The sequence below is a fragment of the Homo sapiens genome, chromosome 11, assembly GCF_000001405.40.
Source record: "Homo sapiens chromosome 11, GRCh38.p14 Primary Assembly".
Taxonomy (NCBI): domain Eukaryota; kingdom Metazoa; phylum Chordata; class Mammalia; order Primates; family Hominidae; genus Homo; species Homo sapiens.
Window position 1 is genome coordinate 60,186,415 of NC_000011.10, and position 24,274 is coordinate 60,210,688.

A 24,274-nucleotide genomic window follows, 5' to 3' on the forward strand; every position below is an offset into this window, starting at 1 on the left:
GAGCATGGTGTTTTGTCTTCAGGAAGCATGGGCCAGGCACAAAGTAAGACCACTAGGAGCTATGTTGAAAAATTTCAAGAAAGGATTTAAGGGAGATTACAGTGTTACTATGACACCAGGAAAAACTAGAACTTTGTGTGAAATAGACTGGCCAGTATTGGAGGTGGGTTGGCCATCAGAAGGAAGCCTGGACAGGTCCCTTGTTTCAAAGGTGTGGCACAAGGTAACTTGTAAGCCAGGGCACCCAGACCAGTTCCCGTATATAGACACTTGGGTACAGCTGGTTTTAGACCCCACCCACTCACAGTGGTTGAGAGAACAGCAGCATAAGCAGCTGGCAGAGGCAAGGAAAGACCAGCAGAGAGAGAGAGAGGAAGAGACAGAGAGACAAAGAGGGAGTCAAGGAGAGAGAGAGAGAAAGAAAGAGGCAGAGAGAGAGAGAGAGAAAGATACAGAGGCAAAAGGAAAGTCAAAGAGAAAGACACAGAAAGTCAAAGACAGAAAGAAAGAGATATACAAGTAGTTAAGAAAAAAACAGTGTACCCTATTCCTTTAAAAGACAGGGTAAATTTAAAACCTATAATTGATAATTGAAGGTCTTCTCTGTGACCCTACAACACTCCAATACCACCTTGCTGTAAGTGTAAACAAGTGCGTAGCCCGAAAGCACTGAGGCCACTGACAACCTGTAGACTTCCTATCAAAAATCTTTAACCTAGTAATCTGCGGATGGCACAAATGCATTCACTCTGTAGCGGCAACTACTTTGCTAACAGAAGAAAGTAGAAAAATAACTTTTAGAGGAAACCTCATTGTGAGCACACCTCACCAGTTCAGAAGTATCCTAAGGGAAAAAAAAAAAGATGATTTAACATTAACCACTAAAAATTCCCTTAACCCAGCAGGTTTCCTAACAGGGGATCTAAATCTTAATTGCCATACAAAGGTCTGACCAGACCTAGGAGGAACTCCCTTCAGGACTGGATGATAGACGGTTCCTCCCAGGTAATGGAAGGAAAAGAAAAAGCCGTCTATACCAATTCTAAGTTAATTTGGACTAAACAAAGTCTTACTAATAGCAAAGGATAATTGAAATCCCAAACGTACAAGGTTTTCAACAAAAGTAAAATTTGCTAAAAGTTAACAGTATAACATGTATAATAGTAACTTCTAATCTTGTAGCCTTAGACAGTCTAATCCACAGACATAAAGGAAGTTTGCTTTGGAAAAGAATGGTTATCCCCCCAAAAAAAGGGGGAAAAAAGCGGGGGCAGAATTTATGTAAAAAGAATCTTATATAGTAAATTCTTGTCCTGAAATAAATTAACTGGTTGTTTAAAGAAAGAAATGTTTGTAATAAGTCAGAAAGTTGAGGCATGTTGAAGAATTGTCTACAAAAGTCATGAAAGAAAAAGAGTTATAAAAAAAGAATTGATGCAAGAAATGTTGTATAATTTAAAAGTAACTAGGCCTCCTGAATGTAAAACTACTGAGAAAACAGTTTATGTGCAAGGTGTATAAGAAAAGTAAAATACACCTCTGGTAAAAGCATTATAAGGAGGCATAAGAATGTGGATTTTTACCTACATTAAAAGATTTTTAAAAATTGTTTTGAAGGTTTAAGCAAGTTTTAAAACGTCAATTGTAAAGGAAATTCTGTGTGTAAACATATTGGCTAAAGTTAAAGGGGTATCATCCAGTTTTTCTGTGAACTGAACATTAAAATAAAAACACAATGGGTTTCTCTTAAAGCATTAACCTGCTCTTTAACAAAGATTATAAAAGGTTAAAAAGAGTCTATAAAAATCTTACCTTATGATCTAACATTAAAAATTAAATAAATATGCCTACTAAGTTTTATTAAAACTAAGTTTAACATTAATAACACACTAATATAAGGGTGACATTTAGCTTATCTGGTATAAAAATCATACAGGAAGCGTCAAATATAAAAAGCTGTTTGGCTTCTTTGGTCTAAAAACTAATAAAAAATAGGTGCTAAAGGAAATTTCTCAGTAGAAAGGCACCAAGGACTATAAAGTCCACTGCTGACATCCCCACATTTAAAACAAAAGGTCAATTTCTTAAAAATTATATACTTGGTTTATCTCCCACTTTCCTTTCCCTCAAAACTAAAAGTCTTTTAACACATGTGCCACCCCTACAATTTCTGGTAAGCCAGCACCAGTCTGAAGATCACATTCTCATCAAAAAGTGAAAAAAAAAGAGGAAATTCGAGCCAGCCTAGGAAGGACCCTACCCTGTGCTGCTAACCACCAAGACTGCTGTTCATACAGTGGAAAAAGGATGGACTCATCACACCAGTCAAGAAAGCTCCACCCGCTCCAGAGTCGTGGGCCATAGTCCCAGGGGAAAACCCTACCAAACTAAAGCTGAGAAAAATTTAACTCTTTTATCTATTCTATTACTCTTTCTTCTTTCCTCACTCTATTGCTGACCATCTAGTTATTAACATAACCAAGTCAATTTTGCCTCAAACTATTGCATTTAATGCTTGCCTTATTATACCCTGTGGGGACTTGCCAAGTCAAAGACAGCTCTCTACTTCAGAAAAGTACCTCTGTCCCTCCTGACTCTCCTCAGACTGGGCATTAGTAAATTAGGACTATTTGATTGGGGGAAACTTTGGTAAAGACTCCAGTGTCAACCAGGAGTCTTGCCCCCCAATGTAGAACTTTTATGCCATAGTTGGTCCAACGTTCTGTTGACCACTAAAGAGCAAGGATGGACTGACCCAACTGGTTTTTGTAATTTCCTAAAATCATACATTCATTTTACTAGAGGATCATAGAAGTTAAAGACTTAAAACAAACTTTGGCAGTTAAGACAAGATACCAAGATGCAAATGCCTGGTTAAAATGGATCAAATATTCCATTTGCACGTTAAACAAAAGCAATTGTTATGCTTGTGCACGTGGCAGGCCAGAGGCCCAGACAGTCCCCTTTCCACTAAGGTGGTCCTCCAGTGGACCGTGGGCTGCATGGTATCTCTTTTCCAGGATTCTACAGCCTGGAGTAATAAGTCATGCCAAGCTCTCTCTGCTATATCCCAAAGTCTGGCACCCTGAAGTTCAGCCCCCGAGGGCCATCCAGCTGCCATCTCCCAACACTAAGTTCATTTCGTGTCTCTCACAATAGGAAGGAAACTTAGCGTTCCTTGGAAACCTGAAGGGATGTAGTGAACTTAAGAATTTTCAAGAGCTTATCAATCAGTCAGCCCTTATTCATCCCAGAGCAGATGTGTGGTGGTATTGTGGTGGACCTTTACTGGGCACTCTGCTGAATAACTGGAGTGGCACTTGTACTTCAGTCCAATTGGCTATCCCTTTCACCCTGGCATTTCATCAGCCAGAGGGAGGAAAAATAAGACATTGTAAAGCGAGAGAAGCCCCTTATGGGTCTTTTGACTCTCACGTCTATTTAGATGCAATTGGATTCCCATGGGGAATACCAGATCACTTTAAAGCTTGAAATCAAATAGCTGCAAGATTAAAGTCAACATTTTAGTAGATAACTGTAAATAAATATGTAGATTAGATGAACTACATCTATTACAACCAACAGCAATGAACTTTTCATGAGTTAAAAGAAAAACTCATGTTGGCCTCAGCCCTGGGGCTACCTGACCTGACAAAACCCTTTACACTCTATGTGTCAGAAAGAGAAAAAATGGCAGTTGGAGTTTTAGCCCAGACTGTCGGGCCCTGGCCAAGGACAGTGGCCTATCTCTCAAAACAACTAGACAAAGTTTCCAAAGGCTGGCCCCCATGTCTAAGGGCCCTGGCAGTGACAGCCCTGTTAGCACAAGAAGCAGATAAACTAACGCTTAGGCAAAACCTGAATATAAAGGCCTTCCATGCTGTGGTAACTTTGATGAATACCAAAGGACATCATTGGCTAACAAATGCTAGATTAACCAAGTATCAAAGCTTGCTATGTGAAAATCCCCCATAACCATTGAAGTTTGCAACACCCTAAACCCTGCCACCTTGTTCCCGGTATCAGAGAGCTCAGCTGAACATAAATATGTAGAGGTATTGGACTAGTTTATTCTAGCAGGCCCAACCTCCAAGACCATCCTTGAACATCAGTAGACTGTGAGCTGTATGTGGACAGTAGCAGTTTCACCAACCCCTGCAAAGTGACTCTGAAGAGGACAACAAGCCCTGCTCCAGTCACATCCAGAAGCTGACTGGTCCACACATGGCCAAAGCATAAGAAAACTCATCATGGGACTCATTTTCCTTAAAATTTGAACTTGTACAGTAAGGACTTCAACTGACCTTCCTCAGACTGAGGACTGTTCCCAGTGTATACACCAAGTCACTGAGGTAGGACAAAAAGTTGCTATGGTCCTATTATTTTATGGTTATTATAAGTGTACTGGAACTCTGAAAATAACTTGTTTGTATAATGTTATTCTATACAAGGTATGTAACCCAGGAAATGACCTGTGTTATGTGTGTTATGACCCATCTGAGCTTCCCATGACCACAGTTTTTGAAATAAGATTAAGGACTGAGGACTCGTGGGGGCTCATAAATGACATGATTAAAGTGTTAGCCAAAACAGAAGAAAAAGGGGTGCCCAAAAAAGTCACCTTGAAATTTGATGCCTGTGCTGTCATTAATAGTAATAAGTTAGAAATAGGATATGGTTCTCTTAATTAAAAAAGAGGCTATATGACAAAAAATAAGTACATTTGTCATGAATTAGGACTGTGTGAAAATGAATGTGGATACTGGTCTTGTGTCATTTAGGCTACTTGGATAAAAAATGAAAAAAAAAATCCTGTCCACCTTCAGAAAAGGAAAAGTGGCCCTTCCTATACCAGGGGTCCGTGTAACCCCTTAGAACTGGTAATAACCAACCCCCTTGATCCTCCCTGGAAAAAAGGGGAGCATGTAACCCTAGAAATCGATGGGGCTGGACTGGATCCTTGAGTAAATATCATAGTTTGAGAAGAAGTTTATAAACCCTCTCCTGAGCCAGTATTTCAAACTTCTATGATGAACTGAATGTGCCAGTGCCAGAAATTCCAGGAAAAACAAGAAATTTGTTTTTGCAATTAGCCAAGCATGTAGCCCAGTCTCTCAATGTCACTTCATGTTATTTATGCGGAGGAACTATACTGGGAGATCAATGGCCATGGGAAGCCTGAGAATTAGTACCTACAGACCCAGTTCCTGATAAATTCCTGGCTCAAGAGAATCACCCTGATAACTTCTGGGTCTTGAAAGCCTCAATCATTAGACAATACTGTATAGCAAGAGTGGGGAAGGACTTCACCCTTCCTGTGGGAAGACCCAGCTGCCTTGGGCAAAAACTGTATAATAGTACTACAAAAACAGCCACCGTGGCGTTCAAACCACACTAAGAAAAATCCATTTAGTAAATTCCCAAAGTTGTAAACCATGTGAACCCACCCAGAGTACCACCAGGACTGGACAGCCCCCACTGGATTATACTGGATATGTGGGCATAGAACTTATGCCAAATTACCTGACCAGTGGGAAAGTAGTTGTGTTATTGGCACTATTAAATCATCTTTCTTCCTACTGCCCATAAAGACAGGTGAACTCCTGGGCTTCCCTGTCTATGCTTCCCATGAAAAGAGAAACATAGCCATAAGAAATTGGAAAGATAATAAATGGTCCCCTGAAAGAATCATACAATATTATTGGCCTGCTACTTGGGCAAAAGACAGCTCATGGGGATACTGGACCCCCATTTACATGCTCAACCAAAGCATATGGTTACAAGCTGTCTTAGAAATAATCACTAATAAGACCAGCAGAGCCTTGACTATTCTGGCCCAGCAAGAAACTCAGATGAGAAATGCTATCTATCAAAATAGATTGGCTCCCAACTACTTGCTGGCAGCTGAAGGAGGGGTCTGTAGGACATTTAACCTTACTAATTGCTATCTACACATAGATGACCAAGGGCAAGTAGTTGAAGACATAGTTAGAAATATGACAAAACTGGCACATGTGCCCGTGCAAGTGTGGCATGGATATGATCCTGGGGCCATGTTTGGAAAATGGTTCCCAGTGCTAGGAGGATTTAAAACTCTTATAATAGGAGTAATAATAGTAATAGAAACCTGCTTACTGCTCTCTTGTTTGCTACCTGTACTTCTTCAAATGATAAAAAGCTTCATCGCTACCTTAGTTCACCAAAATGCTTCAGCACAAATGTACTATATGAATCACTATTGATCTGTCTTGCAAGAAGACATGGGTAGTGAAAATGAAAGTGAGAACTCCCACTAATGAGTGAGATTCTCAAAGCGGGGGACTAAAGGAGGAGACCACCCCTCATATTGTCTTATGCCCATTTCTGCCTCCAAAGAAAGAAGAAGTAAAAACTAAAAGGCGGAAATGAAATCCACAGGCAGACAGCCCAGCACCACACCCTGGGCCTGGTTAAAGATCGACCCCTGAGCTAACTGGTTATGTTATCTATGGATCCCAGACATTGTATGGAAAAGCACTGTGAATATCCCTGTCCTGTTCCATTCTGATTACTGGTGCATGCAGCCCCCAGTCACATAACCCCTGCTTGCTCAATTGATCACGACCCTCTCACATGGACCCACTTAAAGTTGTAAGCCCTTAAAAGGGACAGGAATTGCTCACTCTGGGAACTTGGTTTTTGGAGACGTGAGTCTTGCTGAAGCTCCCGGCCAAATAAAGCCCTTCCTTCTTTAACTTGGTGTCTGAGGGGTTCTGTCTACAGCTTGTCCTGCTATGTGTCTACTTTGGATACCTCATATGAGAGGAATCACAGAGTATTTGTCTTTTTCTGATGGCTTCTTTTTTTTTTTTGTGATGGCTTCTTTTACTTAGCATGAGATCTCCAAGTCTCATTCTTGTTGTAGCATATGATAGGATTTCCTTCTTCTGTAAGGTTGATTAATGTTTCATTGTATGTATATACCACATTTTCTTTATTCATCCATTAATGTACATTTGGGTTGCTTCCACCTCTTGGCTATTATTAATAATGCTGCAATAAATATGTGTACAAATATCTTTACAAGATCATGTAACTCATAGATACTTATTTCTTTAAAGTTAGTTTTTGGAGATTTATTGTATTCCTTTAGTTGGGCCATGTTTTCTTGCTTCTCTGTATGCCTTGTGATCTTTTATTGAGATTTGTGCATTTGAAAACAACACCAACCTTTTCCAGTCATTACAAACTGACTTTATGTAGTGGAAGACCTTTACGGGTTAGCATAGCTAGAGATTCTGGGGGCCCTTCAAACTTCTTTGGGACATGTATGTGTAATTTCCTAGTAAAAGAGTTTTGCCTGCTTCTTCTTCTTTCTCCCCCTGGTGTCTGCCTGCAGTACTACAATCTCCCTAGTGGTGAAATAGTGTGCCTGCCTTTGTTCTCCGAGGCTCACAACATGCTATTCAACTCTGCACTCTGAGTCAGGCAAGACAGAAACCAGTACCTTGGGTAACCCCCACAAAACCCAGAATGCTGGACTCATGGTCTAGTCCTCTTGCCTCTTTAAAGGAGAATCTGGTGCAGTGGGATAATTAAGTAATCAGAGAGACAGAGAGGTTGGGGAGGAATTATTTAATTTTTTAGGTGCACCAAGCCAGTCAGATTAACATCCAAAGGAATGAGCCCTGAACAAAGAATGTGGTTACCTTTTAAGCATTTTGTGGGGTGGGGGGAGATCTGTGCAGGAGGAAGCATATTACAGAAGTGAGAAACAAAGACAGTTATTTAATTAAGACATGCATTACATCATTTCTTCCTTTTCAAGAAACAACATGTTTTATGACTTGAGATTATCTGTCTAGTGATCTTGCAGCTGCACAGCTAGAAAAACAATGCTTCACCATGCCTGGGAAAGACAGAGATAAGGCTCACTAGCCTCAGAAAGAAAAATAGGCAGTTAATTTTAAAGGACTCCAGCCCTTTCTCTTCCTTAAGGGAAATTGGGGGTTTTTTTTTACATAAAACTGAGTTTTTGCTTACACAGTTTTTAATTTCTTTTAATTCCTGTTCCACTGGAACTTTAATGTTTTCTGTAGATCAAGTCGCATTGTGCCAGGGTGAAAGAGTGGCTGGAATGAGTAAAATGCGACAACAATTTCTCCTCATTTTGATGCATCTTTTCCTGGCTTTGCATTCACCTAAGGTGCTGCAACCTCTTAACTAGTTTCTAGAGTTCTCACAAAGGCATTGTAGTTCATACATTGTTGTCAAGTCAGTCTCTCCATGGGGAAATGAGGGCCTGAGGCTTCCTATTCCACCGTCTTGCTGATGACACTCAAGTCAATTTCCTATTGCTAGAGCCTATTGTGCTGAGAGGTCATCTAGTTATCCCAAGTTTCTGTGTCAGAGCTCAAAAACAGATGCTTATGTTTGACAACAAGGGGTTGGAGAGAAATTTTGGAGTTCCTCTAAGTATACGTACAACTCCCTGTGCACATTATCCATAAAATATCTCTTATTCCTGCAGGTCCATGAGCAAGTCTGTCTCTCTGGCCTTTCTAGTTCCAAGGATCTCTCCTTAGAGAATAAGGAGGCCTTAACTCTTTGGACCCAAAACAATTATTTGTGCTTTTGTTTCCTAGCTAGCCCTGTTTCCCAGGTCCCATCTGCATCTCAGTTTTCGTTACCCACTTTCCAACTCCTCTCCTTCAGGACCAGAAAATCTTCTATTCCCTAAGGACATCTGTGCTTCTCTTAATTATCATGTTATCCCTTCCATTCCATGATACCTCTCGTACCCCATACACTAGGAACTCTTCTCTTTCTATACATCTTTCTGAAGCACATATAAAATCTCTAGTGAGATATTATTCTTTGGATTGCTGGAAAACAAAAGCTAGAAGCTAGTAAGCAGCATCTCCTTTTCCTTTCTCCATTAGTATATTCCTCTATCTCCTTCACTTATCTCTCCCTTTGCATATATTATGTTTTTAAAAACATACCTTTATATGTAATATACAAATATTTATATATACAATTATTTATATATTTAAATGTATTTAAATATACAATTATTTATATAATTAAATGTATTTTCAAATAACATATTTGTGTGTAATACACAAATTATTTATGTATTTAAATATATTTTCAAGTAACTTAAAAATGCATATATATATTCCATGTGTGCCTGTGTGTGTGTGTGTGTGTGTGTGTGTGTGTGTGTGTGTGTGTATATATATATATATATATATATATATATATATATATGCATGTATGTTATTTAGACAATTTGGTGACCCTGTTAGGGGCACAGTGTCTGTGGCTTCAGAGCTGGAGGTAAGGTGGAAATATTTTCATCTTTTTCCAAATATGAGGGAATACTAAGTAGAAAAAAATTAAGATAAAAAATAAATTACTGGAAGTAATCAGCAAGGGTTGAAGCACTTTGCTGCTGGCATAAGGGAAAAAGAATCAACATAGATGACAGCTAGCTAATACAGCACTATGTGATTCCTGAGCCCCATCCAGACGGCGACTTTCCTCCTCTTGATGTCCAGCCCCTCCTGGCCAAGCTGAAAGCATCCATTTAAGAGATGAGAGCAAGTTACCCACTGTGTCTGGTGAAACTGTACCTAGAGTCTGAGAAGGATTAAAACAAGCTATCTTGACCTTTTACTGGGGGAAAATACCACGCTTTGCTGAAATTGACGATGAAAAGATTCAGAAGGGAAACCACAAGGAACTTTCTGAACTGCTTCTTCTGCTAGAAAGAGTGTACTTATTGAAGATGAATTGTTTTCTTAATCTAGTATTATCAGCCTGACAGAGTTATTCACAAGTAGTTAAGTTCCTGGGAATCACATGAGCAGCAGCAATCCCAAGAAACCTGAGTCAGTAAAAAAATAAATTGCTGATCTTGAAGAGATTCAAAGAGGAAGGCAAAAGCATTGTCAGCTTTGTTCAAACTGTATCTCAAATTTAGTTGTTTTTTGTTTTTCTATCCACCAGGCAATCAAAAGGATGTTGCTTTATACATCTTTCCTGTGTTTTTCATACAGTAAACTCAAAATTTAAACCAAGGGACATATTTTAATTAATTAAAAGATTTAAATATTTTCCCTGGAATGTGTACAACTTTGTCTTATTATATTTCTTGTATTTTTTGTTGTGTGAAGAAAAGACATTTGAGCATATATTAAAACTGTCTGGATATTACTATATAAAACATTGGAAAATATCACAAATTAACTTAAATATAAAATAACTGGAATGTGCTAGGGTCTTTTAATAGCTACTTCATGAAACTTAAATAAGGTGACTAAAAATAACAGCATATAAAAATGATAATACTTAAATTTTCTGCTTGGATATTTTAAATTAGAAGTATTGATTTAATTAAGTTACATATGTTGACAAGCTTAAGTAAATTTTAAATATAAAGAAAAATAAAAATGCTAATATTTACATTCATGAGCATCTTTTTAAAGTTGAAGCTCAGCTCTTCCAATTATGATAGAACCAGACTTAATCTTCCACTCTGTACAGTTAAAAAACTGGGTTGGGCCCAGTGGCTCATGCTTCTAATCCCAGCACTTTGGGAGGCTGAAGTGGGAGGATCCTTTGAGCCCAGGATTTCAAGGCTGCAGTGACCTATGACTGTACCACTGCACTTGAACCTGGATGATCTTGTCTCAATAAAATTTTTTAAATCATAAAGAAAACTGGAAAAAAATAAGCACAACTCTTTCCGGACATTGGACAAAGTTAGTGCAGGAATTTCAACATTGACAAGTGAAAAAACAAAGTGAATATAATAATTGCTCTGGTTTTCTGCATGAAGAAACTTTCCATACCATGGTAGGGAGAGAGATTTATTCTGATATTGCTGAATTCATAAGACAAAAACCAGAATTTGAGGGCACTGAAACAGCTGGAATTAATGAGAAGAGAACAATAAAGGGGATAGCTCTCCAGAGACAGAGTTCCAGAAATCTGCAAGTATCCTAAATTTGTTGTCCAATACAAAGCTGTACCTTTATAGGTTGAAATTTTAAAAGTACAGTCAAGGACTAGCCAGGTAGTTGTAAGCTGTATGATTACCAGGGCTCACACAATGCTGGGAGACATTCAAGTTCCAATCAGCTGGAATGCAGAGACTTCCATGAATACTTGGGGGATAGAATAGAGACCTCCAGAAAGGTTATTAATAATAAGTCAATTATTATTAATGCTTTAATAATTAATCTGTTAATAATAAACAAATTATTAGTAAAGCATACCCCCAATTAATAACAATGATAAACCTTCTCATACTGTTTGGCTCTGTGTCCCCACTCAAGTCTCATGTTGAATTGTAATCCCTAATGATGGGGGAGGGACCTGGTGGGAGGTGATCGGATCATGGGAGTGGACTCTCCTTTTGCTGTTCACATAATAGTGAGTTCTCATGAGATCTGGTTGTTTGAAAGTGTGTAGCACTTCCCCCTTCACTCTCTCCTCCTCCTGCTTCCACTGCATAAGACATGCTGGCTTCCCCTTCACCTTCTGCCATGATTGTAAGTTTCCTGAGGCCTCCCCAGCCATGCCTCTTGTAGATCCTGTGAAACTGTGAGTCAATTAAACCTCTTTTCTTTATAAACTACCCAGTGTCAGGTAGTTCTTTATAGCAATGTGAAAAGGGACTAATACACCCTCCCGATCATGCCTTTGTAAAAGTCTCAAAAGAATCAAATTGGTCTTTAAGTTTAATTTCCTGCAAGAAATAAAATGGAATATCTTGTGAAAAAAGAAAAATTTGGGTACTCAATCAAATAAAAATCATAATATCCAGCATCTAATCCCAAATTACTATACATGGCAAGAAACAGAAAAATCACAATAACAAATAGCCAGGAGAAAAATTAATAAAAAAGACCTGTAAATTATAGAGATTACAATAAAAGAGAAGTGCTTTAGAATATTCATTATAAATGTGCATAAGAATTTCAAGAAATACTTGGACACAAAGAGTATAAAAATATAAAAAATCAAATAGAACTTCTAGAGATAAAAGCTACAGTATATGAAATGAATAAATCACTGCCTATGAGTAACAACACATTAAGTTTTCCAGAAGAAAATGTTAGTGAACTGGAAGGTGGAAATAGAATCTCTATAATCTGAAGCAAAGAGTAGGAAAAAAGTCTGGAAACATTAATAAAGCATCAGTGGGACAGTATGAAGTAGTCTAACATGTAATCTGAGTCCAAGAAGAGAGCATGAATTTAAAACATATTTGTATAAATCATTGGAATTTCCAAATTTGATAAAAGTATAAACCCACAGATCCAAACAGCCTAACTAGCCACAAGCTGGATGAAGAAAAATCAAACTACACCAAAGCATAACTTAATTAGGTTGCTAAAAATGAGTAAGAAAGAGAATGTTTTAACAGCAGAGGGGGAAAAGGACTCATTATCACAAAGATAAGGATACTTGCAGACTTCTCATAAGACATTATGTAAGCCAGAAGACAGTCATAAGACATTATTAGAGTACTTGAAGGCAAAAGCTGTCAACATGGGATCCACATCCTTTGAAAATATTAATCAAAACTTAAGGTAAAATAAAGATGTATTCAGACAACAGACAAAAAGATCTGAGAAAATTTAGTACCAGAAAAATCAATACAATGAATGTCAAAGGACGTTCCTCATGTTAACAGAAAATGAAAAAACCTTGCTGAGACATATTAATGAAGGCCTAAATCAATTAAAAAGTATGTTCTGTTAATGGATTAGAATACTTAATATTGTTAAGCTAGCAATTCTTCCCTTATAGACCTATAAATTCAATACCCTCCTAATCAAAATTCAGGAAGGTCTTTTAGGATTGGATATGTTGACATGCTAATTCTAAAATTTACATGAAATAAAGACTTAGAATGGCCAAATCAATTTTAATAATGAAGAAAAATAACATAGATATGTGCTACTATAAAGCTATTATACATTTTAATGATAAAAATTAATAACAAGATACAAACCAAAGAAACAGGAAATTTCCAGTCAAGTATTAAGATAAAATGCATCAATTATTTCAGTAGCCACAGCAGTGGCCTTCAACTCATTTCCTTTTTTTCTGGTTTAATTCATGTTCTTATTAAAGATAAAAGTATATCTCTCTTGAAATCCTTTCCACAGAGTATTGCAAGTTTACAGGATCAGGACTCAGAATCAAGAAAAATAAGAGTTGTGGAAAATGGCAAATTTTGAAAACAGTTAATTTAAACTAAGTTCAACTACAGATTTTTAATGGTCATTGTGAACACCCGAGATGATTCTTCCTGAATCTGTTTCATGCTCTATGATCCAATTTACTGTGTAATGTAAGAATGACACATCACTGTTAGACTGTTAGAACTGTTGATTTGCTCCTGACTTTGCATATAGTATTCAGTATTATTATTTTACAACCTCAAATATAGAAATACCTCTTATAACTGTTGTAACAATGATTGAAGCCCTTTGAGGCTTCTCTTACATTTACAAGTGGATTTAATTTGATTTTATAAATATAAATTACCTTTAATAGTTGGATGCATGTTTTCTCAATAGACAGCAGTTTTTGCAGCAATTCTATTATAGTACACTTACAAATTGCTCATTATTGATTACCCATTTCTTTATCATTGACTGAAAAAATCACGTCTGAATATTCTTTAATCTTTTAGTATCATTACGTTTCTTATACTATTTGATATATAGGATGAGTGAAGAGAAATTAGATTTTAGAGGATAAAGGGGACAGAAATATATGATACACAAATTTAGCTTAGTGGGAAGTCTTCATTTTGCTTCAGTAAGTCTAAGGAAAAAAAATACTGGATAAATACTTTTTATTTATTTATTTATTTATTTATTTAATTTTTTATTGACCATTCTTGGGTGTTTCTCACAGAGGGGGATTTGGCAGGGTCATAGGACAATAGTGGAGGGAAGGTCAGCAGATAAACAAGTGAACAAAGGTCTCTGGTTTTCCTAGGCAGAGGACCCTGCGGCCTTCCGAGGTGTTTGTGTCCCTGGGTACTTGAGATTAGGGAGTGGTGATGACTCTTAACGAGCATGCTGCCTTCAAGCATCTGTTTAACAAAGCACACCTTGCACCGCCCTTAATCCATTTAACCCTGAGTGGACACAGCACATGTTTCAGAGAGCACAGGGTTGGGGGTAAGGTCACAGATCAACAGGATCCCAAGGCAGAAGAATTTTTCTTAGTACAGAACAAAATGAAAAGTCTCCCATGTCTACTTCTTTCCACACAGACAAGGCAACCATCCGATTTCTCAATCTTTTCCCCACCTTTCCCCCCTTTCTATTCCACAAAACCGCCATTGTCCTCATGGCCCGTTCTCAATGAGCTATTGGGTACACTTCCCAGATGGGGTGGTGGCCGGGCAGAGGGGCTCCTCACTTCCCAGTAGGGGCGGCTGGGCAGAGGCACCCCTCACCTCCCGGACGGGGCGGCTGGCCGGGCGGGGGGCTGACCCCTCCACCTCCCTCCCGGACGGGGCGGCTGGCCGGGTGGGGGGCTGAACCCCCCACCTCCCTCCCGGACGGGGCGGCTGGCCGGGCAGAGGGCTGACCCCCCCACCTCCCTCCCAGACGTGGTGGCTGGCCGGGTGGGGGGCTGAACCCCCCACCTCCCTCCCGGACGGGGCGGCTGGCCGGGCGGGGTCTGACCCCCCCACCTCCCTCCCGGACGGAGCGGCTGGCCGGGTAGAGGGGCTCCTCACTTCCCAGTAGGGGCGGCTGGGCAGAGGCGCCCCTCACCTCCCGGACGGGGCGGCTGGCCGGGCGGGGGGCTGACCCCCCCCACCTCCCTCCCGGATGGGGCAGCTGGCCTGGCGGGGGCTGACCCCCACCTCCCTCCCGGACGGGGTGGCTGCCTGGCGGAGACGCTCCTCACTTCCCAGACGGGGTGGCTGCCGGGCGGAGGGGCTCCTCACTTCTCAGACGGGGCGGTTGCCAGGCGGAGGGTCTCCTCCCTTCTCAGATGGGGCGGCTGGGCAGAGACGCTCCTCACCTCCCAGACGGGGTCGCGGCCGGGCAGAGGTGCTCCTCACATCCCAGACAGGGCGGTGGGGCAAAGGCGCTCCCCACATCTCAGAAGATGGGCGGCCGGGCGGAGACACTCCTCACCTCCCAGATGGGATGGTGGCCGGGAAGAGGCGCTCCCCACTTCCTAGATGGGATGGCAGCCGGGCAGAGACGCTCCTCACTTTCCAGACTGGGCAGCCAGGCAGAGGGGCTCCTCACGTCCCAGACGATAGGCGGCCAGGCAGAGACGCTCCTCACTTCCCAGACGGGGTGGCGGCCGGGCAGAGGCTGCACTCTCGGCACTTTGGGAGGCCAAGGCAGGCGGCTGGGAGGTGGAGGTTGTAGGGAGCCGAGATCACGCCACTGCACTCCAGCCTGGGCACCATTGAGCACTCGATAAATACTTTTTTAAAAAATAAATCATTTTTAGTCCCAAGTATACTGACTCTACCTGAATAGGTTGGACTACTTATAGTTAGAAGTTATCAGTAATATCACCTTATATACTCAAGACCTTATGACTTGTTTTTATCCTTATTATTCACAGAGCAAATTGATGGTTAACCACTGTCACTAATTGCCAGAGCCCTTGCTCTCAGACATGTACATACCAGCCAATACAAAGGCAATTCTTGGCCTAACTTCAACCCAGCAGAGCAGCCACTTGCAATCACTAAGCAGACAGAGAATCAAATTGCCTCTACGTCTTATTAATACAAGTTGAGATGATCTAAAGGAAAGGAATTGGTGTAGGTGAGGACCTATCTCTTGAAGATTTGAAGAAGATTTATGGTGTGTGCTGTTGGCAAATTGTTGCTATATTTCCACAACAAACCTATCCTTTGGTGCTATGAATGTGTTTACAATGAAGATTAATGACAGAGTACACATTTTTAAATAACTTTCTGATGTTTTTGTATATAGAATGTATGGGAGCTTGCCATTCAATCTGGTCAGTAGCATTCTAAAATTATCTGAATGCATGCACCTGTGTTACACTACATTGGCTTAGATTATAGTCTTTTTCTTGTTCCCTACTATGTTTCTTCTGTCCTAAAAATCCTCTCAGATAGCCAACTGAGAGCTATTACCCAAACCGAAAACAGTCCTAGTTTCCAAATATACATCAAAGCCACTAAGTGACCCACACTGAGTTTTTCCTAAACACAAAATTGATTTATATCATATGCATGCCCAGCTGATTACTTGTAGGAGGATCATCCTTTCCACCTGACTCCAGGTGCCTGTTCTGCCATGTCATTCTCAATATGACATCTGTAGAAGTTAAATACTCCTCTCTTAGAGAAAAAGATCCACTACTTTATCCCAATTGCGTATTACTATTGACAGTGGAAAACTGTACTACAGTTGGAATCTCATTTTACCTAACTCACAATGACTGGAAAATAGGTTTGAGGGAAGATGACTCCATTTTTAGAGAATCTTAGATTATTCTGGTATTAAATTTGAAACAGTAATATTATAAATTCCCACTTCTAAAACTTCACTGAAGTTAATGAAAATTACCGATTTTCAGGGTAGTGCAGCTTCTTTGTGTCCCATATGGACATTACTCTTATACTTAGTACAGTTATTTAAAAATCAGAATTCTGTGGACACACTTATCTGTTTCTTTTCCTGAATATTTAAAAGTATAATAACTGCTTATGTGCTCAAATTAAGACTTATGTTAATCTTTAGCTTATTTTATTATTTTATTTTTACTTTGTTATTTGCTTTTATATTGTTTAATAATTCTTTATATGTCACCTATCAGTATCACTCACCATTCTTTTCATATCGCCTACCAGTGTCAATCTTCATTCTGTGATTACAAGTTTTAATAATACCTGTAGTCTTTGTAAGAGCCTATAAGGTAGGTACTATTGTAATTTTTATAGATGAGGAAACTGAAGAAACACAATGATAAGCTACCCACAGCTAGTAAGTTGTGGGGAATTTAATCATGTATGTAAAGAATAATTATCTTGGCCAGGTGCAGTGGCTCAAACCTGTACTCCCAGCACTTTGGGAGGCCAAAGTGGGTGGATCGCCTGAGCTCATGAGTTCAACACCATCCTGAGCAACATGGCGAAACCTTGTCTCTACAAAAAATACAAAAATAAGCCAGGTGTGGTGGTGTATGCCTGTAAGCCCAGCTACTTGGGAGGCTGAGGTGCGAGGATGGCTTAAGCCAAGGAGGTGGAGGTTGCATTGAGCCAAGATCATACCCCTGCAATCCAGCCTGGGTGACAGAGCCAGACCCTGTCTCAAAAATTAGATAAATAAATAAAAAGAATAACTATTTTTCTTGTAAATGTAGCAAAAGAAGGCAAAGTTTTCATGGACGTTTTCCTACTGCTTTACATCCTAATCACTTATAGATAGAACCTAGAATAACCAAATAAAGAATAAATTTAAAATTGCATGATATGAAATAAATGAGGCAGCCTTCTCTACAAGTTGAAATCATAATATTTTGCATGAATTGCCTAAAATATTTGCATTAGCTTTTTACAACTAAAAATGTACTAATCTTAGGTTGCTTATGTAAGTGTTAACCTTAAAAAGTTTATGTATGCGCTAATTTAAACCAACAGAAGGCATTCTCAGGCCACTTAAAATAATCTCAAGGCAATATATCAGGATATAAGTTAGGATATTTTACAAAATCCAAGACAGAACAAAGAATCAGGAGATGTAAGGACTTCTAGGATTTAGTATGAGTTCTGGCTTTTATTATGAGTTAGAGAGGAAGCCATTGAAGGATTTTGCCCAGTTATAGCAGTTAATCATCTTCCCTTGCCTTTATATATTTAAAACGTCAGGGATTGGCCCAACTTGAGGTAAACTTTGACTTGGAGATGCAAAGGATTTTGCTAGGGTCTGATCCTTCACTTGGCGCTTCTCAGTTCTGCTCGTCTGTGAGCAAATTACATCAACTCAACTAGAGTGAAGTTCTGTGGTAGCTTTGTGACCTAGGAAAAATTAATTGTGTGAATGACTGACACATTTCCAATCAAATTACTCTCATCATTTTCACTTCACTGTCTAAGAAATGATCTCCCTCTCTTTCCTCTTTCCTGTTGGGCTTGAAGCTGTGAAGAGGTAAGTTTGCTGCAATCAGCAGCCATCATGCTACTATATGAACCCTGTGACAGACAGATGCTCATCCATGAAATCAAGCATTCATTTCATTTCCATTTATTGCTATTTCTGCTTATTTGACTTTCTTTTAAACATACTTCCTTTACAGACACACACGTATGCCAGTAATAAAGTAGGCTACATGTATTCTCACTGATGTCCCATAAGAGACATAGAACATCTATGCAATAGTATTAAGGTTCTATATACTACATAATAGTAAGCAACAGTATTAAGGTTCTATTTGGTGGTTCTTGCTAGATTACCTTTCAATCCTCAACCAAGAAGATAGAATGTCATAATAGACTTTTTCCAGATACTGTCCATCTCCGGAGCTGGAGAAAGTAGACAGGTTAGCATTGAAAGAAGGAGGGCCTCACATTCCCATGAAAAGCGTGCATGGAGAAAGGTGGATACAATAGATACGTGAGTGTAGGGCAGAATGAGAAATCCTATATACTGAGTTGGAAAATATGAATGTCCATGCAAATTCAATACTTTTTATCTTATCATAATGAAAATATCGCTTCCTCAAAAAGAACTTTCCTGGTTACTCTCTAATGACTCATATTTCACAACCACTACCAACAACCACTCTCCAGCACATTAATTCTTACAGTTAGCTTCTAACAGCATATAAAAATGTTTTGATTGTTTTATGTTAATCTGTGTCCTGTCCCATAAAAGTTTAACCTACAAGAGGAAGGATATTATCTCTCTTATTCACCGCTATTTTCTTATATGCTTAAAACAATGTCTGCCCCATTGTAGATACTTTACAAATATATGCTGAATAAAATGATGAACTGACAAATATAAATAATATGTATATATGTACATATGTATATGTATTAATTAAAGCTTTTGAGGCTCCATATGTACCAGAGTACTAATTGCTCTATCTTTATTATACCAAGAAATTATCATAGGTCTATGGGCCAGACAATATTATTACTATTTTGCTGAAGAGAAATATGAAGCACAGATAAATTTTGTGGCATGTTCATAGCTACATAGGTAGTAAACAACAAAGATGGGATAGCAAGATGAAAACCCAGGGTTGTCTGATTAGAAAGTCCACATTATTTACCACCATACAGTACTGTCGACATCAACATTTAGTCTCTTTCCATCATATTGCATCTGAATAGAAAGGAGGTAGCACATGAAAGTATTGCTTCTAATTTTATTTTTGCTCTGCAATAAAAAAGCAAATGTAATTAACAAACATTAACAAATACCATATGTTGCACATTTCCATATGTGACACAGGATACACATTTGATTAAGATATAATTCTGCCCAGCAGAAGGTGGGGGAAGGGAGAGGAAGAAGAAAAAATAGAAAATATAAGTTGAATCTGATCCTTCATATGATTTTTACTCCATGTATACCTTTACTGAAATGATAGCTTGTGCACATGCAAGGACTGACTATACTATTCCAAGGTACTTTCTATGGGTGAAGGAAAGCAGAAGGAAAAGGATGGGGGAGAAGGGCATGAATCTCCACTTCATGAAGGAAAAAGCACTTTGGTCCCCAAATATGGCAGAAAAAAAGTCAAGTAAGTGAGAGGAATGTTATACAGGGGAGCAGAAGTATGTGTTTTGCATGGAGACCTCGTTTTAGCAATACCTTTTTGCCCTTCTGCTTCCAAATCTTATTTGCCAGTTTAATGCCTTTATATAAAGTCCTAATGATGAATGAAAACCTTTCAAGTGCTGCTGCCTCATTAAATGCATTATTTATTAATTTAACTTCTAGTACTCTCGATAAAGGGCCAATGAAATTAGTTGTTGAGTTCCAGGGGAAAAAATGAGAACAAAATTTTGAATATATACACACACACACATATATATATATATGTATATATATACGTATATATATATACACACACACACACACAGAGGTCATAATTGGATTCCATATAATAATGATATCAATATGTCTATCAGTATTGGAGTTGGATTCTGGTACTTTCTCATGTGGGGTTCTTGTGTTACAGTCAGCATAGATTTCTGGAGCATTCTTCTGTTAATCTTTTGGTGGCATCAAACTGTCTTAAGTGGTGTGGGAGATGCTATTTCTGCCATGTGAGAATTTGATGGTGTAATTAGCACAAACAATCAGAATGCCATAGGTGAGTCACCCAAATCACCTCAGAGTGCCCCTTTCCTGCCCACATAAAGTCATCATTATCAGAGTTTACTCTTTTCTTCTCTGATTCATTCTCAATATCAGTCATGTGGGGATTCTCAGTCATTCTTTAGATCAGGCTAGATTTAGGACACAACATTCAGTGATAGCTCTTGACCTGAGCTGCTGATGACCACTGCCCTGGTCTCGCAAGAGGATCAATCTTACATGTGGATGACAGTGCACAATATGATGGGTAAACCAAGGTATCATGAAAAATATGGGGCTCTTCTTCCAAACCAGGTTGTTCATGCTGATGACATCAACATACCCAAATCATGATTTGCTGGTTACAAATAAAGCATTGCAAAAACCACACTGGCCTGGAATAGCAGGGATCATCACAAAACTAAGAAAAGTTCTGGTTATTCTTCCACAAACTCAGTGCAACATTCGATTGGTAGGGCACGGTGGGGGACCAGGAAGAGATAGAGATTTAGCCAAGATATGCCCCAAAGCCACTGCTTTTCTGGACTCAAACCAGGGGATTAGGGAAACAACATTCCCCAGCTTCTATGCAAAGAGCCAAAGGGAACACAGACTTAAATATCATGACATGAAAGTTACTTCACTTGATGAAATTACAAAATCATTGGTAATTGCTGAGAATCTCTCACCTCTAGGGTTTTACAATGCAAAACCCCACCACTAGAGTTAATGCGCTATAGTCAATCTCTCTTCTATGAGGGAGGGTTGTCGGGGAGTGGGATATGGTATTGCCTGGGAATCCCTAAAGAAGACAGAGAGGCACAAAATGATGGAGAAGGGCACCAGAGAAACAATCTCCTCAAACTACAATTACTTTATTCTTTGGCTGACGGTTTTGTCTGCCTTTCAGACTTTGGGTAATGAAGCTAATGAGTAGCTGTTGGGGTTTTACTATCCATTTCCTCATTCTGGAACCCTCAATTCTAGGAGGATATCCCACCCCATTATTCTTAGAGCCTCTTTCTTGATTTCTTCTCTCCTTCCATTCCTCACTTTCCTCTCTCTGTGTAACTTTCTTTTGGCTTAACTGCCAGGAGCATCTGCTGCAGGTCTCAGGGTAAGAGAGTGGGCAGGTGGGCACAGACTGATAGAGAAGTCTGAGATCATGACATTCCTTCCGTATTCCAGGAAAAGTTGTTGTAATAGGATAATAGAATAAAACCAAGTACTTTTGGGGACCTCTTCATTGTGAAATATTTTCTTATCTGGATTCAGAGGTTATGCCCTTTGAGAAAGGAAGGGGAAAAAGAGCTTTTATTTAGCTCTTGTGCTAGGCAGAGTTCTAAGGTGACACTCACTGACCCCTTGTGATTCCCTTCTCTCAAGTGTGGATGAAACCTGTGTATAAGATGGGATACAAGTCCCGTATGTAGGACTGATTTGTTGACTTTCAGTTTATAAAAAAACTCATTATTCTGGATGGACCTCACCTCTTCATGTGAATGCTTTATGAGAGGATTAAAGCACTAGAGACTCTGGCTCTCCTGCTGGTCTCAAAGAAAAAGTACATTGTCATGAGTCCTCAACTTAAAGGAAATTAATTCCGCCACATTCACATGAAAGAGAATCAGAAGCTTTAGACAAGGCCACAGCCCCGGCCAACTCCCTGATGACAGAGTCATAAGATCCTGAACCAAGGACCCACATCCACTGGGCCCAGACTCTTGATCCATGGAAACTGAAATATAATGAATGTGTACTGTGTTAAGACTATAAGTTTGTTTAACTGATTATACAGCAATACAAAAGTAATACAGATACCTTCAAATGAAGGCCAATACTGACCTCACTGGGGCTACAACAAAGCACTTTACATCCAAAGGCAGAGAGGGCCACAGCAATGCAGAATTCCAGCACACTTAAGAGGAGCACCATGCCATCCGTACCCTAGGAGAAAACTCATAACAAGGGAATGTGAGAAATGGAGATGACAAGTGAAAACATTTCCCAGCAACCACAGTGTCATAAGAGAAAAAGCACTGGCTGGGAGTCAGGAAACCTGCCTCCCAATGGCAGCCATACCCTTGACCAATTCTTGATCTGCTGAAGTAGCTTCTCACTTTTTTCACTAATAAAATAATCACAGACATTTATTCCCTAGTTCAGCACCTCCCAGTGCTATTGTGGGCATGGAAGATGAAAGTGCTTTAAAATGTTAGGAAGGTAGTATAAAGATAATTGTCATCATATCCTATTGAGTACTAGAAACTCATATCATTGAAAAAATACTATGATTCCATATCTTCGTGATTGTAAGCAGAGTAATGGTCCCCCAGGGAGGTCTGCATCCTAGTCCCCTAATCCTCAGCTTCTGGGGATTTGAATGCAGACCTCCCTGGGGGGACCATTGTTCTTTTTGCACAACAAAAAGGATTAAATTTGCAGCTGAAATCAAGGTTGCTTATTAGCTGGAATGAGAGAATTTTCCTGGATTATTCAGGTGGGTTCAAAGTAATGACAGAATCCTTATAAGTGGAAGCAAGAGGCAGAATAGAGTTCAAGAGAGTTTTGAAGATGCTGCATTGCTTGATTTGAAGGTAGAGGATGGGATGACAAACCAAGAAAGGTAGGCAGCCTACAGAAGCCAGAAAAGGCAGTAAAACTTATTGTTGCCTAAGCCTTCAGAAAGGAGTACGGCCTTGCCCACACTGATTTTAGCCCAGTGAGACCCACTTTGAACTTCTGACCTCCAGAAACAGAAGATAACCAAACTGTATTGTCTTGAGACACTAAATGATTTTATATGGTTCTGCCTAATGATTTGTAGTAATTTGTTACAGTAACAATAAGAAGCTAATACAACAATGAACATCACGTAGGTCAGTCTTTAATCCATCTCCCCAGAGCACTGGCTTTAGGGCTAGTCTTCAGCCAAGAAACATAGTCAAAATTTGGAGAACAATTGGGCAGTACACTTATTTCTATTAATTTTACCCCGGACTGATGCAGGGATTATCTGGTTTAAATATTCTCTCTTTTTCTCTCCATGGTTAGGGATAGTCCCTCTGTTGCGGAAGAGCCAATAGACCAAGAGCTCAGGATATGAGTGAGGCAGACTTAAGGAGACCTTGAGAATATTTGCATTCATTGCTTTTTTATTTTCTTGTGCCTTCAACAGCTGTAGCGGCCTCTGTGTTTCAAACATTGTTGTAGGCACAGAATATAGAACAGCAAACAAAACAGACAATTCCCCTGTCTTCAAGGATTTTACCATCTAGAAGTGTAGACTAGAAGATGGCAAGCTTTCCGTAAAGGCCAGATAATGTACATTTTAGGTTTTGCAGACCGTAAGGTCTCTGGCACACACATTCAAACCTGTTATTATAACACAAAAGCAGCAATACACAATATGTAAATAAATGGGTTCGTTACATTTCAATAAAACTTTATTTACAAAAACAAATACAGGGCTGGACTTCCAAAAACATAGCATGTATATAGACCTGTGGACTGATTGTGCAGGTGCCCAGGCAAGAATAGACCCATTGCTTCAAATCCCAGGAAGCCCTTATGGAGGTCCCCTGCTATAAAAACAGGCATAAAAATGTTTACACAATTAACAGGAATTCATCATGGACTCTGGGAAAGGTGACTGAAATGAATGCAGGACCAGCTATGTAATTTATAGACTCTCTTATTAAAATTACATATATATCTTAGCTTGAGCTATACGAAACTGCTGTCTTTCTAGGTTAAGTATAGTTGATCATTGGCAATTTCATATGGTTCTGCCTAATGATTCCGGGTGGTAGACTCTAACTACTTTTTTCTAGAGCTCAACTTTTTCTGGCCTCTTTAATAATTATATGCTTTCCAGCATTTCTATCTTTTTCTTCCAGGAGAACCAAAGTTCCTTTGTGGTAGGGAACTGTTCTCTTTCT

General features: G+C 39.4%; 1 protein-coding gene and 1 non-coding gene across 6 annotated transcripts in view, besides 3 other annotated features; both read right to left on the reverse strand.

Moving 5' to 3' along the window:
- Positions 7,269–7,556: a transcriptional cis regulatory region, noted in NCBI's record as "candidate enhancer chr11.2530 targeted for multiplex CRISPR interference". NCBI's record gives its function as "positively regulates MRPL16 gene expression in K562 cells {active_cell/tissue: K562}" and the evidence as "EXISTENCE:mutant phenotype evidence [ECO:0000015][PMID:30612741]".
- Positions 9,507–9,586: an enhancer, noted in NCBI's record as "active region_4764". NCBI's record gives its function as "activates an Ori minimal core promoter by ATAC-STARR-seq in GM12878 lymphoblastoid cells {active_cell/tissue: GM12878}" and the evidence as "EXISTENCE:reporter gene assay evidence [ECO:0000049][PMID:35858748]".
- Positions 13,856–24,274, reverse strand: part of MS4A4E (membrane spanning 4-domains A4E) — a 42,868-nt gene continuing 32,449 nt past the window's right edge. Inside the window, exons 6-9 of one of the 5 annotated variants that reach the window (NM_001393391.1) lie at positions 22,179–22,280; positions 19,300–19,406; positions 18,476–18,544; positions 13,856–15,465 (exon numbers count right to left, since the gene is read on the reverse strand). In NM_001393391.1, the coding sequence (NP_001380320.1) occupies positions 15,129–15,465; positions 18,476–18,544; positions 19,300–19,406; positions 22,179–22,280 (615 nt within the window). In that variant the 3' untranslated portion in view covers positions 13,856–15,128. Of the gene's footprint in view, positions 15,466–17,773; positions 18,041–18,475; positions 18,545–19,299; positions 19,407–21,184; positions 22,281–24,274 lie in introns of those variants that run through there. The other 4 variants (XM_011545416.3, XM_017018641.2, NM_001351235.2 and 1 more) reach the window with 4 other exon arrangements.
- Positions 14,700–15,555: an enhancer, noted in NCBI's record as "H3K27ac hESC enhancer chr11:59968587-59969442 (GRCh37/hg19 assembly coordinates)". NCBI's record gives its function as "activates a minimal SCP1, AML or CMV promoter by ChIP-STARR-seq in naive H9 embryonic stem cells {active_cell/tissue: H9 hESC(naive)}" and the evidence as "EXISTENCE:reporter gene assay evidence [ECO:0000049][PMID:30033119]".
- Positions 22,657–22,742, reverse strand: MIR6503 (microRNA 6503). The gene has a single exon (NR_106758.1). It is a non-coding gene; the product is annotated as a microRNA 6503 (primary transcript).